Here is a 17,037-nt window from a genome sequence, read left to right on the forward strand (position 1 = left end):
GAATGAAGCTCGTCTCCCTTATCCATATCAAAACCAAACCCAAATTAATTGGCTAAATTGGGACTGAACACCTCCAGGAGCCACGCAGAAGAAAGCCCCACCACACTTTAAAGTAGCTTACCTCATCATATTTGAGGAAAGCAAAACGCTTATGACCAGTATGCTGCTAATACAAGTCTACAGATAATGCTGTAGGAAAAATTATTTTTCTTAATCATAGCTGGCATAGTCCACATTTTGCATTACCTTTCCCCCCGCTTTTTTAAAATTTGAAACACAAGTCTTTTCCTCTTCTTTTTTTAAATTTTAATTTAATTGTACAAAACGGAGTCTTAGTATGTTGCCCAGGCTGGTCTTCAACTCCTGAGCTCAAGCGATACATCCGTCTCCCCCTCCCAAAGTGCTAAGACTACAGGCCTGAGACACTGTGCCTGGCCTTAAACACAAATCTTAATTCATTCTTACAATTATCCTGAGGTTAGAAAAATGGAAGGGGAAGAAACATGGCAAGCAGGTAGGCTGACTTCGGCTTCATTATTTGAAGGACAGTTTGCTCGGTTAAAACACACTACTGCCCACAAATGTCATGACAACAGAAAAATACAGACTTATATAAACAGGTTTTATATGTGACAGCGGTTTGGAGACTTTTTTAATGCAAATGAGAAACAGCTGTGCTTGGGAATAAATGACAATGAATTTTTTTATCTCAACAGCTGTCCTGAGAGCACGTATCTACATCTCTACCTGCATTCTGGAATCAGGGAGAAAGCCAAAACTGATGACAAGACACTAGATCAGCCGTGTCCAACCCTTTGACTAAAAGGACTTTTCCGCCTATCTGTGGTGGTGGGTATCATGAAAATTATGCACAAACCTTTTTTTTTTTATAAGCTCATCAGCTGTCGTTAGCAATAGTGTATTTTATGTGTGGCCCAGGAGAATTCTTCTTCCAATGTGGCCCTGAGAAGCCAAAAGACTGGACACCTGTGCACTAGATCAAAAGGCTACTCCTTCTGGAAGCAATTGTAAAGAATTTCTGACATTATCTTGACATGAAAACCAATGGATAGTGGGACAGAATGCAAAATCTTCAAGAAATTTTTTTTTTTTTTGAGTCAAGGTCTTGCTCAGTGGCCCAGGCTGGAGCACACTGGTGAGATCACAGCTCAGTGCAGGCTCAAGTGCTCCGCCTGCCTCAGCCACAGTAGTAGCTGGGACTATAGATGCGCACAACCACTCCTGGCTAACATTTTATTTTTTGTAGAGACATGGTCTCACTATATTGTCCAGGTTGGTCTCAAACTCCTTGACTCAAGGGATCCAGGAAAGGATAACAGGTGTGAGCCACCACACCTGGCCATGTGCATGAAAAAGGTCCCATGAAAGTTAAGGTTTTCCCACCTAATTTCCAGGGGATCTTTTGGTGCAAGGATGAGAAGCCCTTAAAAGTACACAGACAACTCCAAAGATTCAAGAGAGTTCATTCGGGCTGAGCCAGCCCACTGGGCAGACTGACCTTCAAAAAAGGCCCACCCATGACATACACTAGATAGCTCTCCAAGAATCTCTCCAGTCCTCAGGGTCCCTAAGGTAGTGGACAGAGCTAGGAAAGCAAACCCATTTGCTTCTTCCTGCAGGAAACCCCTTGAGGTCAAGACCCCACAATCAGACGAGGATGGAGTGGCTCACCCTCAGTCAACAGGCCAGACTCAAGGTGGTATAATGTCTTAACCAAGGGTGTGGGCTTCCAGGTCTGACTCCCAACTCATTTCTCCTTTAATAACCACACTTTGTTAATTCTCTTTAAGAGAGGTTCCTGGCAAGTCAGTTCTCCCTCAGGCCTTCGGTTTCCTCACCTACAAGACGAGAGGGCTGGACCAGATGGAAATTCGGGTTGTAAGGGGATGTCTGTGCGCAGCCCACCCTGCCCACGGGCCCCTCGAGCCTCCATCCAAGTTCCCATCACGCACCCGCCCCACAAATCCTGCCCAAGGTGAGGGCTAGTCCGGGGTCCTCTGGCTGCTGCATCAGCTAGTGCAGGAGGGAGGAGAAGCCTCCAAGGGGGCCATGCGGGCTCAAGGATGCAACTCGGCCAGGAGTGAACTGGGGCCCCAAGGGAGGTGTCCGGGCCGCTCCTCGAGCCCAGCCGGGGTCCCGGACCCCCTTACCTCCATCGTCCGTATTTCCTGCTGGGTGAGGTCGTTGGACACAGAGCACTGGGTGCGCAGCCCGAGCAGGCTGCCGATGGAGATGCCTATGAACTTCTGGAGCTGCCCGCACTGCTGCAGCACCCGGCTAGCGGCGGCCCCTGCGCCTCCCTCTGCGCCACCGCATCACCCCCGCCACCGCCCTCCTTCTTCTCTCCCATCGCAGCCGGGCGCAGCGCCACTCTATGCAGGCTGCAGCGGTCAAGGCGGGGAGCTAGGGGTGCGGGCGTCTAGGCAAGGAACCCCTGAGCCGGGAGAGCTGGACGAGGAGCGCCCCTTGGCGCTGCCCGAGCCAGGACGCCGGTAGAGCTGGCAGCCTAGTTGGCGGATCCTGCAGTCAGAGCCGCGGCGGCGGGGGCAAAAAGTGGCATGGGGGGGCGGGTGCAAAAAGCCGCAAAGGCAGAAAGCTGCGGCGGCGGGTGTAGAAAGCCGAGGCGGCGGAGGCAAAAAGCCGCGGTGGGAACAACCTGTGGCGGCGGGGGCAAAAAGCCGGGGCGGCGGGGGCCAAAAGCCACAAAAAGCCGCTGTGGCAGGGCAAAAAGTCGTGGCGGCGGGGGCAAAAAGCCGCAAAAAGCCGTGGCTTCGGGGGCAAAAAGCCGCGGCGGCGGAGGCAAAAAGCCGTGCCGGCGGGAGCAAAAAGCAACGGGGGCGGGGGCAGAAAGCCGCCGCGACGAGGCCGAAAGCCGCGGCGGCGGGGGCAAAGAGCCGCGGCGACGGGGTCAAAAAGCCGCGGCAGAGAAAGCCGCGGCGGCGGGGGCAAAAAGCCGCGGCGGCGGAGGTAGAAAGCCGCAAAAAGCCGCGGCGGCGGGGACAAAAAGCCGCGGCGGCGGGGACAAAAAGCCGCAGCGGCAAAAAGCTGCGTCGGCGGGGGGCATAAAGCCGGGGCGGGAGAAACCTGCGGCGGCGGCAAAAACCTGCGGCGGCGGCCAAAAGCCGCAAAAAGCCGCGGCGGCGGGATCAAAAAGCCAGCTGCTCCCCTGGGATTCCTCCAATTACCCTGTTTAAAGCCTCTGCTCACTCATGCGCTGGAAGAGGGATGTCAGAGATGCAGTCTACTCTTCCTAAAGGGCTGACAGGGCATAAAGACAAGATTGATTATCCATGGAACATTCCTACAGGAATGCACCTATGTGCAGACACACTAATAAGCAGTGTGTCTTGCAGTGTGTAAATGGCTGAAATGCTATTTACACTTCTTTACACAATACATTTTTAAATGTTTTGTTGATGTATTCTCTATCATTTAAAAAAATCATCACTTTCCCCCTAAACAAAGAGGATTTTTATCAGAAACTTATGGGAAGCCCCTTGCTCTACCAGATTCCCACCCTCATTTCTCCTGAAGGAAGAAAGAAAACCATCTCTATTGATTTCTCCTCTCATCCTCTAGGACTAAAACCAGAAAGCTGCATGCTGCCTGGGTGAGACTTAGAGAAGACCCTGTCTGTAGGAGCAGGAATCTCAGAGCCTTGGCTGAAAGGCATGGTCCTGAAATGAGATGGAGTCCCCCATGGAGAGCACACGTGGAAGTCCACACCTGAGGGCTCACTGCTCTTCACCACAGATGCACTCCCCTACTGAGTCCTGAGACCTGAGTGCACCCCATAGAGTAGGACTCAGATGAGGGGATGCAAATCTCCACCAGCTCCACCCTCCTCTGGGTTCAAAAGCCGAGAATGGGGCCTCGCTCAGTGACTCCTGTGCCCCACTATGGACACGTTTTGCTCCACACTCCTGCTGCTGACCACCCCTTCCTGTGAGTGTTGTGGTCAGGGACTTCCTCAGAAGTGAAACATCAGTTCTCTCCTTTGTGGGCTTCATCTTCTTATGTCTTCTCCACAGGGGTCTTGTCCCAGGTCACCTTGAAGGAGTCTGGTCCTGCGCTGGTGAAACCCACAGAGACCCTCACGCTGACCTGCACTCTCTCTGGGTTCTCACTCAGCACTTCTGGAATGGGTATGAGCTGGATCCGTCAGCCCCCAGGGAAGGCCCTGGAGTGGCTTGCTCACATTTTTTTGAATGACAAAAAATCCTACAGCACGTCTCTGAAGAACAGGCTCATCATCTCCAAGGACACCTCCAAAAGCCAGGTGGTCCTTACCATGACCAACATGGACCCTGTGGACACAGCCACGTATTACTGTGCATGGAGAGCACAGAGACACAGCCCAGGATGCCTCCTGTACAAGAACCCAGGCTGCGTCTCAGTGGTGCTCCCTCCCTACCTCTGCAGAACAGGAAAGTGTGACTGAGATGCCATTTCCTGCCAGGGCTTGTGTTTCCTATACCAACCAGACTCAGAGCCCTGTCTGTTTTCCTATTCTGTATTATTAAATGTCATGCTCCCTGTTAGTGATCCATGTAAGCAGAGGCTGTATCCTGTTTGACAAAGATTGAGCATCTAAGAGTCCCATTACCTCGGCCACATGCATCACTGATATGTGGCCACTTATTTCTTGAGCTCATATCCTTCCAAGGGTCTGAATACAAATATCTATAACATATGACATTCTTAAACTGCAGGAAATAGTGTTGGAGAAGAATGTGGAGATAAAAGAGCAGGATGATTAATTAAAATCCAGATACCATCTTTTCTTGCAGAGACAAATTTACACTAATAAAGTAATTTTATGAAACAACAAGAAAGACAGAATGTGTCCTCATCATGGAGTGTCTCACTTGCAGTGTACAAATAAATTTCTAGAAATTTTATAGGGAAGGTGTGATAGATGAGGCTGATTTCCACACAGGGGGTGATTAAATACCCAGGTAAGTATAAAATCCAACACTTGGAAAGTAAAATGCCTCAGCTTGACATCAGAAACCCATCTCAGTAAGTCTGAGGATCAATGTGGAAAAGAAATGAAAAATTCGACAACACTTTTCTTATGAAATTCCTAGCTCAAGTTTGAACAGGACTATAAATCATGCTGCTATAAAGACACATGCACACGTATGTTTATTGCGGCACTATTCACAATACCAAAGACTTGGAACCAACCCAAATGTCCAACAATGATAGACTGGATTAAGAAAATGTGGCACATATACACCATGGAATACTATGCAGCCATAAAAAATGATGAATTCATGTCCTTTGTAGAGACATGGATGAAACTGGAAACCATCATTCTCAGTAAACTATCACAAGGACAAAAAACCGAACACCACATGTTCTCACTCATAGGTGGGAATTGAACAATGAGAACACATGGACACAGGAAGGGGATCACACTCTGGGGACTGTTGTGGGGTGGGGGGAGGGGGGAGGGACAGCATTAGGAGATATACCTAATGCTAAATGATGAGTTAATGGGTGCAGCACACCAACATGGCTCATGGATACATATGTAACTAACCTGCACATTGTACACATGTACCCTAAAACTTAAAGTATAATAATTAAAAAAAAAAAAAGAAAACAGAATTGTCCACAATTTTAGGAAAGCCATCGCATGACAACAAACCACGACAATGATAGGAGCATCACTGAGTCAATGGAGTTCAAGCAGTGAGCAGATCAGTATTGAGGCCCCAGGAAAATCAAGGCTCTTGGGTACATTTTGCAGAACCCAGAATTGAGCCACATAATCTATGGCCAAGTGATCTTTGACAAAGTTAACAAAAATTAACCAACGTATACACCAGGGAAAGGTCACCTCATTCAATAAAGGGCGCTGGGGAAATTGGATAGCTATATGCACATGAATTAAACTGGACACCCACCCTCAACATGTAAATAATTAACAGAAAATAGATTAAAGGTTTAAATGTAAGACCTCAAACTGTAAACGTATTCAAATAAAACACCAGGACAACTCTTCTGGACACTGGCCTAGGTAAATAATTTACGACTAAGAACTCAAAAGCACAAGCCAAAAACCAAAAGACAAAAAGCAAATAATAGACAAATGGGACTTAATGAATCTAACAAGTTTCTTCACAGCAACAGAGTGAACAGACAAAGTGCAGAATGATAGAAAATATTTGCACACTGTGCCTCTGACGGAGTACTAATATGCAGAATTAACAAGAAACTCAAACAACTACGAAAGAAAACAAGAACCAAATAACCCCATTAAAATGAGCAAACAACTTGAGTAGACATTTTTGTAAATAACACATAAAAATGGACAATAGATACATAAAAAATGCTCAGCATCACTAATCATCAGGGAAATGCAAATTAAAACTGTAGTGAGATATCATACCGTTCACAATGGCTATTATTAAAAAGTCAAAAATAACAGATGTTGGAGAGGATGAAATGTAAAGTGAACTCTTAGACACTGTTGATGAGAATGTGGACGAGTACGACCTCTATAGAAAACAGTATGGATTGAGTATGATATTGACTATGCATTTCTCATAAACAGCTCTTATTATTTTGAGATACATTCCATCAATACCTAGTTAATGAGCGGTTTTAGTATGAATCGGTGTTGAATTTTATTGAAGGCCTTTTCTGCATCTATTGAGATAATAATGTTTTTTTTTCCATTGGTTCTGTTTATGTGATGGATTATGTTTATTGATTTGCATATGTTGAACCAGCCTTGCATCCCAGGTATGAAGCCAACTTGATCATGGTGGATTTGGAAACCGGCACAAGACAAGGATGCCCTGTCTCACCACTCCCATTCAACATAGTATTGGAAGTTCTGGCCAGGGAAATCAGGCAAGAGAAATAAATAAAGGGTATTCAAATAGGAAAAGAGGAAGTCAAACTGTCTCTGTTTGTAGATGACATGATTATATATTTAGAAAACCCCATCATCTCAGCCCCAAATCTCCTTAAGCTGATAAGCAACTTCAGCAAAGTCTAAGGATACAAAATCAATGTGGAAAAATCACAAACATTCCTATACACCAATAATAGAAAGACAGAGAGCCAAATCATGAGTGAACTCTCATTTACAATTGCTACAAAGAAAATAAAATACCTAGGAATACAACTTACAAAGGATGTGAAGGACCTCTTCAAGAGAACTACAAACCACTGCCCAAGGAAATAAGAGAGGGCAGAAACAAATGGAAAAACATTCCATGTTCATAGATAGGAAGAATTAATATCATGAAAATGGCCATATTGCCCGAAGTAATTTATAGATTCAATGCTATCCCCATCAAGCTACCATTGACTTCCTTCACAGAATTAGAAAAAAACTACCTTAAATTTCATATGGAACCAAAAAAGAGCCCATATAGCCTAGACAATCCTAAGGAAAAAGAACAAAGCTGGAGGCATCATGCTACCTGACTTCAAACTATACTACAAGGCTACAGTAACCAAAACAGCATGGTACTGGTACCAAAACAGATATATAGACCAATGGAACAGAATAGAGGTCTCAGAAATAATGCCACACATCTACACCCACCTGATCTTTGAAAAACCTGACAGAAGCAATGGGGAAAATGATCCCCTATTTAATAAATGGTGTTGGGAAAACTAGCTAACCATATTCAGAAAACTGAAACTAGATCCCTTCCTTACACCTTATACAAAAATTAACTCATGGTGGGTTAAAGACTTAAATGTGAGACCTAAAACCATAAAAGTCCTAGAAGAAAACCTAGGCAATACGATTCATTACATAGGCATGTGCAAGGACTTCATGACTAAAACACCAAAAGCAATTGCAACAAAAGTCAAAATTGACAAATGAGATCTAAGTAAACTAAAGAGCTTCTGCACAGCAAAAGAAACTATCTTCAGAGTGAATGGGCAGCCTACAGAATGGGAGCAATTGTTTGCAATCTATCCATCTGACAATAGGCCAATATCTAGAATCTACAAGGAACTTAAACAAACTTACAATAAAAAAACAACCCCATCAAAAATTGAGGGAAGGTTATGAACAGACACATCTCAAAAGAAGATGTTTATTCAGCCAACAAACATATAAAATAAAGTTCATCATCATTGGTCATTTGAGAAATGCAAATCAAAACCACAAAGAGATGCCATCCCATGCCAGTTAGAATAGTGATGACTAAAAAGTCAGGAAACAAAAGCTGCTGGAGAGGATGTGGAGAAATAGGAACGTTTTTACACTGTGGTTGGTAGTGTAAATTACTTCAACCATTGTGGGAGACAGTGTGGTGATTATTCAAGGATCTAGATAGAACTAGAAATACCATTTGTCCCAGCAATCTCATTGTTTGGTATATACCCAAAGGATTATAAATCATTCTGCTATAAAGACACATGCACACATATTTTTATTGCAGCACTGTTGACAATAGCAAAGACTTGGAACCAACCCAAATGCCCATCAATGATAGGCTGGATAAAGAAAATGTGGCACATATACACCATGGAATACTATGCAGCCATAAAAAGGATGAGTTCATGTGCTTTGCATGGACATGGATGAAGCTGGAAACCATCATTCTCAGCAAACTATCACAAGAACATAAAACCAAACACCACATGTTCTCACTCACAAGTGGGAGTTGAACAATGAGAACACAAGGACACAGGGAGGGGAACAAACATCACACACCGGAGACTGTTGGGGAGTGGGGGGCTGGAGGGGTTAGCATTAGGAGAAATACCTATTGTAGATGATGAGTTGGTGGGTGCAGAAAACCACTATGGCCTATGTATACCTATGTGACAAACTTGCACATTCTGCACATGTATCCCAGAACTTAAAGTATAGTTAAAAAAGGAAAAAAGAGAGAGAGAGGGGGGAAACAGTATGGAGACTTTCCAAAAAATGAGAAACAGTACTGGCCTTTATTCTACCAATCCCACTACTGGGTAACTACCCAAAGACAAAGAAATCACGATTTCAAAAAGATACCCACACTTCTATGTTTACCACAAATCTATTCTCAATAGCATATATGACAACCTGAGTGTCCACCGACAGATGATTTTATAAAAGAATATAGCATATATGCACAATTTAATACTAGTCAGCCACAATAAGGAATGAAACTGTGTCTTTTGCAGCAAGATGCCTAGAACTGGGGGACATTATAATTAGTGAGCTAACTCACAAACAGAAAGCCACATATCACACATTATTACTTATAAGTGGGAGGAAAACAGTGTGTACACAAGGATATGGAGAGAGGGATTATGGACATTGGAGACTTAGCAGAATGGGAGGGTAGGAGTTGGGAGCATGATGAAAAATCACCTAATGGGTACAATGTACGTTACTTGGGTGTTGGGTACACTAAAGCCAATACCACTGTAATATTTCTGTGTAACAAAGGTGCACCCATAGCCCTTAAATTTATACAAATAAAGATAAAAGCAATTACAATTGAAAATATAAAATTATTAAGCATTGGGAGATATACCTAATGCTAGATGACAAGATGGTGCAGCGCACCAGCATGGCACATATATACATATGTAACTAACCTGCACAATGCGCACATGTACCCTAAAACTTAAAGTATAATAATAAAAATAAATAAATAAATAAATAAAAAATAGTTGACCAAAGATCTTGAAAATTAAAGTTTAAATCATGATCAATAAATGAAATTAATATCAGTTGAACTTCATTTAACTTAAAATCCTTTTGTACTCAAGTGATTTTAAGAGAATGAATGTCAAGTTTTAGATGAGAAGATTTGCAAATCATATCACCACCTGTGTAATTATAGTAAGAAACTTCAAAACTCAACAGTGAATAAAAGAAGAGGCAACCCGTGGATAAAATAGGCAAAGTTTTGTGCAGGCATTTCATTAAAGAAGATGTACAGATTACACATAGGCATATAAACAGGATCTCAACAGGATTTTTCATCAGAGAAATTCAAATCAAGACCACTATAAGATACCCAAACACCCTTTTTAGAATGGCTGAAATTAAGAAGAAAGATGGATCACACCAATGCTGGTGAGCATACCAGGTTTCCAGAGTCTAAAACATTGCTAATGGGAATGGAAATAGAAACAGCTACACAGGAAAATAATTCTTAGTTTCTTGTAAAATTATATATGCCCTTAACACATTACCTAAAAATCCCCCTCCTGAATATTTGCTTCAGAGAAATATAATTTTATATTCAAACAAAACCTCTATGCAAATATTCAACATAGTGTGTGTGTGTGTGTGTGTGTGTGTGTGCATGTGTTAGAAACTAAAAATAACATGAATGTATGAAAATTCGAATGGGCAAAGAAGGTAGGCACCATCTATACATTGAATACCATCAGCATAAAAACTAACAAATGACTGATACACAAACTATTACAAGTGAACTCCAGACATTACACTAATTGAGAGAAGCCAGTCTCAACGACCAAAGGGACATAGTTGTAAGAAACACTGCCATTCTCAGATATCAGTTGTATGGGCTGAGCTTTCTCTGTCTCTTTCCTGACCAGGCCCAGATGTTGAATTCCACCACTTGCAGATTGAAAATTCTGTTCTTTTTAACAAAGCACTAAGGTTTGAATTGCATCACAGACTAATACAGACAAAACTGGGCTTGTTTGAAGAGTGTCTGATATTTGTTCTGACCCCAGAAGAACTCCAGGTCTCTCCCTCCTTGGTTTTCTCCAGCCAGCCAGCCAGCAGGCCTGCAGTTTAGCCATTGTCTCCCATGCATCCACCTGTTTCTTTCCAAGGGCCTTCCTTTCACCACAGCCTCCAATATTTTGGAGAGCACACTCAAGCTTTGAACTTTTCCACATTCTATTGTAAACGAATGTAGGTAGTTTAAGACCAGATTCAAGATTCTATATTATGGCTAAATTACAGCAGCCCCTCTTTCCTGGGACAGAGCTCCTAAGTAAGTTTCTGCAGATGGAGACAGATGAGCTTTTTCCTCCCTCAGCATAGGCTCTGACTGCTCAGCGGAGGGTTGGGGAGAAGTTTCCCACTTTATCAGCAAGCAGTTCTTGCTGGGGTGGACTCTCTGCCACAGGAGCAGGGCTGTGAACCAGGGACCCAATGTCCTCTGTGGTGCTGCACCCAGGGAAGAGCCTCCAGCCATGAGTGGGGCTGTGTGGAGGAAGTGAGTCTCTTATCAGTAGCTCTTGTCCAGAACTGAGCCTCAGCAGCTCGTTCTGTCATCAGGGTCAGAGGGCCGATGTCCTGGTTCCTAGGGAGCAGCATCCTAAAATGGGAGCTGGCATATATGAGAATAACAAAACCTACAAATTCAGAAGCCCTTTGGTTTTCTTTCCAGAAAATATAATTTCATTTTTTGTGGGTGTATGAGAACACCCTAGCAAACCGTATACACACCCACATTGATGTTTACAGGTCTATGACACTTTTATCTCTGTAAGTAAAAATTATTGGTCACTGTGATCTTTTCTGCAACTTTGCCATTTCACTGAAGGCGAGGACAGGTCCTTCTGCATGGGTTCAAACAAAAGGCTCAGAGACCACCTGGAAAGTGAGGAGCTCACCTGGTTCTGGAAGTTTGGTCTGTCTCTTCCCCTCTGTTGCCCCACAGAAGGTCAGCCCACTTTTTCCAGGTACTAAGAAGAGAGCCCAGGTTTGTCCTGATTATATGACTCACCCAGCTTCTGATGACTCTCCTGTTACCAAAATCCATGGATGCATATTTATTATGTAATTCACTAAACTAATATCAAATACCAAAGTTGCAATGCCCCTCACCAGAAGGTATGTTCATGCAATTCAGTGGAGGAGAGGCCTTTCAGAGACAGAAGGATCAAGCTAGATTGGTCAATATATGAATGAGGACAATAGACTTGATTCTTGTTGTCCTCAAGTACCCGTGTCACAGGTGTGATCTGTCAGGGCAGGAGCAGAGTTCTTTGTGTGCTCAGATGGGAGGGCTCACGGAGGTTCTCCCTGGTTCCCAGGAAAGTAAGTGAAGTAATCTTGGTGATGAGACTATTCTCCAGTTATGACCTATTATAGAGTTTGCATATGAAATTGTCACTTCAGTCTGCCATCTACATCTTTTAACATGAAAGTGTACAGAAATTAGGCCACATCCTCAGGATCACACGTTGAGGAGAATGCAGATAGGCCCCACTGCTTTCTCCAAAGATCTTCAATAGATCTCAGGGTTCAAAACTGCTCAGAATGGCAGCTCTCAGGTGTTTCAGTTAAAATCACCCACTTCCTGGGACTGGAAGTTTCCCTCTAACCAGGATGGATAAAAATAAATCACACTCTTGATCTTGTCCACACATTCAAAAATTCCTAAAGGCAGAGCTGATTGATGTCCTCACAGACAGACTACTGCCATTCAGAGGTGACCTTGGTATTCAAGTTCTAGCAATTCTGAGAATTCAAGGACATCTCCATCTCTCCAGTGCTTTGTACCTCACATAAAAACAGCTTTCTCATTGGAGTGTCTTGTGTTTCCTGATATAAATATGTCACAAAATTATTTTAAATAGAATGAGAAATAAAACCCAAACTTACTCAAAACACCAATTCCTTGGAAATTATTTTGAGAGCTGGGAGTTCATGAAGAACTCCAAATTATTATTCCAACACCTCATTGCCATTGTCAGTCTATGAGAAAATCAGCACCAATCACACATCACAAGCCAAATCAGTAAACCAAGAGTCTTCTATTGAAGATCTTAGGATCTCAGGCAGATGCTGAAGACACTGTCTCAGTAGCACCCAGAAGATCTCAGAGCTTGTCCATGGGGCCTGCTGGATACTCACATGGGACATCCAGCGGTCACTTCATCAGAGCCCCCAGTGGGCTGTGCTAGTGCCTGATGAAACCAGGATGAGGCAAAGGCATCTGCTCAGTGTCATAGACAGTAATGGTCCCAGAAATGATCCCAATTGTCTCCATGCTAATCAAATGTGGGTTCACTGTGAGGAGCATGTCCTGTGGGTGCTTGTTCTTCAGTGAAAGGACCTCTGTCTACAAAGTGTTTGGAAGTGGAGCAGGGCATGCATTTCCTCAAATGAGATTAGGACTTGGAGCATTAGCATCTCACTCTTGGATGGCTGATGTGCAGCACCACCAGAGTGGCAGGACAGGGGCTATCCAGGGCTGCACCTTAGGTCACAGTGTAGGGTAGGTTGGGGACGCTATCCAGGGTGTCATTGCCTGCATTAGGGGTACTGGTTGGTAGCACTGTACAGGGCTGCACTGCCCACGGCAGAGAGGGTGGGTTATGGGTGTTTTCTGGGGCTGCAATGCCCGTGGAGGAGGACAGGTTAGGGCACTATTTGGTATACGCTACTGGCGGCATTGGGGGATGGAGGTGGGGGGTGCTATTGAGGGCAGGACTAGCTGTGGGGGGGTGAGCTTGGTGCTATCAGGGGCTGTACTGCTGGCAGCGGTCAGCAGAGTTGGCATCCAAGGAAGGAGTGGTTCTCCTCTCCCTGACTCCACACTCCAGAGGGCGACCCACACTTGGTCATACTGGAGTGCGGCAGGCGCACAGCGTTTGCATGGGAATCCTGAGCACAGCAGAGCCCCCACACCCACCGTGGTTCCTGGGCCTGTGCACTCTGGGTCTGTGCCTCAGAGGCTGCCAGGCACCCCTGGGGACACCACGGGAGACAGGGCACTGTGTGTGGAGGCGTTCGGAACAGGAATTGGCACCTGCGTGTGGAGGGCTGGCTGGGTCTGAATTTTTCTGCTTCTCCTGCTCCCCGAGGAGTGCAGACCCGGTGGGCCCAGTGGTTTCTGTGGAGTGGGGAGCTGGGTGCTGTGGTGTCTCCAGCACCCACCCCAGACCCCAGTTCCCGGCCAGCTTGGGCCAAAAGGAGAGGCTGGACTTTGGAGGGTGGATGTGAGTGCCTTTGCTGAAACTGGCCCCTGCCACCCAGTGGCCAGCATGACAAGTTGAGGCTCTAACCCTTCCACCCCTCACATCTTCCTCTAGGCTTTTCTGGCTTTGCCCGCCCAGCTGCTCCATGCCAGGAGGAGGAGGAGACACCCAGAGCCTGCGACACCACAGCTCGCCTCGCTGCGAGTGGGTGGCAGCGACGGAGACTGCAGTGCGCCAGAGCGGTAGGAGAGCGGCTGTGCTAGGAGGGCAGGCGGCTGCAGCCAGGGTTGGGGGTCAGGCTTACAGCGATGGATGGGCTGCAGCAGTGGCCAGGCCGTAGGAGCTTTGTAGGGAGGGCTGGTGCATTGGCAATGGGCCTGTCTTTGCCCTGCCCCTGCCGTGGATCTGGCCCTTTACTGCCCTGCCTTGCCCTGTACCTGCCCTACTGTTACCTGGACTCTAGGCCCTGTCCTGCTCTGGTCCCATCCTGACACTGTCTTGGCCCTGTGCTACCCTGTCCCTGCCCTGGTCTTGCCCTGGCACTGGCCCTGCCCTGAACCTGCACTGGCCTGACCTTGGCTCTGGCCCTGGCTCTGGCCCTGCCTCTTGTCCTGACCCTGGTCCTGTCATGGCGCTGGCCCTGCCAATGGTCACGGTCCTGCTCCTGTTCTGGCCCTGACCGGGCCTTGGACATGTCCTGGCCTTGCTTTGGCCCGTCCCTGCCCTGGCCCCACCATGGGCCTTCCTGTTCTGCCCTCTCCTGACACTGACCTTGCCCTGTCATGGCCCAGTGGTGCCATTGCCCTGCCTTACCCTGCGCTGGTTGTGCCTTGGCCCCGCTTGGTGCTGGCCGCTCCCTGGACCTGACCTGACCCTGCCTTGGCTTTTGCCCTGCCCTCACTATGGCCTGGCCCTGGCCCTAGCCCTGGTCCTGCCATATCCCTGGCCCTGCCCTTATCCAGGCCCTGCCCCTGCTGCTGCCCTGGCTCTGGCCTGGAACCTGGTCCTGTCAAGGACCTGCCCTGACTCTGCCATGGCCCTGGCCCTCCTCTGCCTTTGTCCTGGCCCTGACCCAGACCCAGACCCTTTCCTGGCTCAGCACTGGCCTTTCCCTGGCCCTGAGCTGGCAGTGGTCTGCCCCTGGTCTTGCCATCACCCTGCCCTGCTGTGCTCTGGATGTGTCCTCACCCTGCCCTGGCCCTACTCTGCCTTTGACCCTGCCCTGGCCTTACCTTGACCCTCACCTTAGTCTTCGCTAGGCCCTGCTCTGGAGCTGGCCCTAGCACAGACCTGGCCCTGACCCTGGCCCTGGTCTTTGTCCTGCCATAGCCCTGGCCCTGAAGTGGACTTGGAGGTGTCCTGGCCCCGGCGTAACATGGCTCTGCATTGGTCTGTCCCTGCCCTGCCCCTACCATCACCTTGCCCTGCTCTGCCCTGTCCCAGTACTGACCCGGCCATACTATTTCCCTGCCCTACCCTGCCTTGGCTGTGCCCTGGCTCCGTTCTGGCCCTGGCCCCAGCCCTGCCCTGGACATGCTCTGACACTGCCTCAGCCTTGGCACTAGCCTGGCTCTTTCTTGGCATCAGCCCTGCTCTCTCTGTGGACCGGCTCTTGTCCTGTCCTGCACTGGCCATACCATGCCCTCTCCTGCGCTGCCCTGACTCAGCCCTGACTCAGCCCTGGCCCAGCCTTGGCCTTGGCATTGCCCCTAGTCCTGCCATATTTCTTGCCCTGTCCCTACCCTGGCCTTGGCCCTGACCCTTACCTTGCTCTGGCCCTGCCCTTGCCCTAACGCAGCCCCTGGCCCTGTCATGGCCCTGCCCTGGACCTGTCCTGGCCCTGGCCCTTCCCCGCTTGAGACCTTGCCCTGGTTCTCCTCTGGCCCTGACCCTGAAATGCCTGGCCCTACCCTGGCCTTGCACTGCTCTGGCGCTTGCCCTGACTCTGGTCCTGTCACTGTCACTGGCCTAGCCCCAGCCCTGTTGCTGGTCTTACCATGGCCCAGACCCTGCCTTGGCCATGCCCTGACACTGTCCTGGACCCTGGCTGTGCCAAGAACCTGCACTGTCCTTGCCCTTGTTTTGCTCCTGCCCTGAACCTGGTCCTGCCCAGGCCATGGCCATGGCCCTGGCCCTGGCCCTGCTCTGGCTGTTCCCTGGCCCTGCCCAGGTCCTGGCACTGGCCTGGCCCTGCCCTGCCTTGGCCCTATTCTTTCCTGGCCCTGCCTTGCCGGCCCTGGCCCTGCCTTGGCCCTAGGCTGGCTTTGGCCCTGCCCTGGCCCTACCTTGGCCTTCACCCTAGCCTTACCTGGGCACTGTGTTGGACCTGGCCATAACACAGACCTGGTTGTGGCCCTGGCCCTGCCATGACCCTGTCCCAGACCCTAGCCCTGCCAGGTACCTGTCCTGGCCCTGCTCTGGGCCTGGCTTTGTCCCTGGTTCTTAGATGACCGTGGCCCTGCCTCTGCCCTTGCCCTTGCCCTGGCACTGGCCTTGGACATGTCCATGGTCCTAACCCTGGCCCTGCCCTGGAGCTGCCACTGTCTTGGCCCTGCCCTGGCTCTGGCCCTGCCCCGGCCCTGGCCCTGCCCCGGCCCCATCCATAGACCTGCCCTGGTTGGTCGTGCCCTACCTTAACCCTGTGCTACCCTGGGCCTGCTCCACCCTGCCCTGGCCCTGCCCTCCCTTTGGCCCTGCCCTGACCCCGCCTTGGCCCTCACACTGGCCCTAGCACAGACCTGGTCCTATCTGTGGCCTTGGCCTGGCATTGACCCCTGCTCCTGACCCTGGTCCTGCCATGGCCCTGGCCCTGCCAATGACCCTGACAGCCCTGGCCCTCGCCCTGTCTTGGCCCTGGCCCTGAACTGGCCCTGCCCTGACCCTGGCCCTGAAGTGGATTTGCAGGTGTGTTGTCCTTGATTTAACCTGGTCCTACCATGGCCCTGTCCCTCCCTTGGCTCTGTCCTGGTCTTGTGCTGACCCTGACCCAGACCTTGGCCCTTCCCTAGCCTTGTCCTAGACCTGGCCATGGCCCTGCCTCTGCCCTGGACTGGCGCTGGCACTGGCATGGACCCTTGCCCTGGCCCTTTGCTACTTAAGGCCATACCCTGGCCCAGCCCTGGT

At 48.4% G+C, this 17,037-nt stretch overlaps 1 pseudogene, besides 1 other annotated feature; it reads left to right on the forward strand.

The window, feature by feature from the left end:
• Positions 2,795-2,966: a silencer, noted in NCBI's record as "fragment chr16:32857908-32858079 (GRCh37/hg19 assembly coordinates)". NCBI's record gives its function as "represses an EF-1alpha promoter that drives an FKBP-Casp9 reporter gene in an ReSE screen in K562 erythroleukemia cells {active_cell/tissue: K562}" and the evidence as "EXISTENCE:reporter gene assay evidence [ECO:0000049][PMID:32094911]".
• IGHV2OR16-5 (immunoglobulin heavy variable 2/OR16-5 (non-functional)) lies at positions 3,921-4,462 on the forward strand (annotated as a pseudogene).

This window comes from Homo sapiens, chromosome 16 (genome assembly GCF_000001405.40).
Source record: "Homo sapiens chromosome 16, GRCh38.p14 Primary Assembly".
In the NCBI taxonomy this organism is placed as follows: domain Eukaryota; kingdom Metazoa; phylum Chordata; class Mammalia; order Primates; family Hominidae; genus Homo; species Homo sapiens.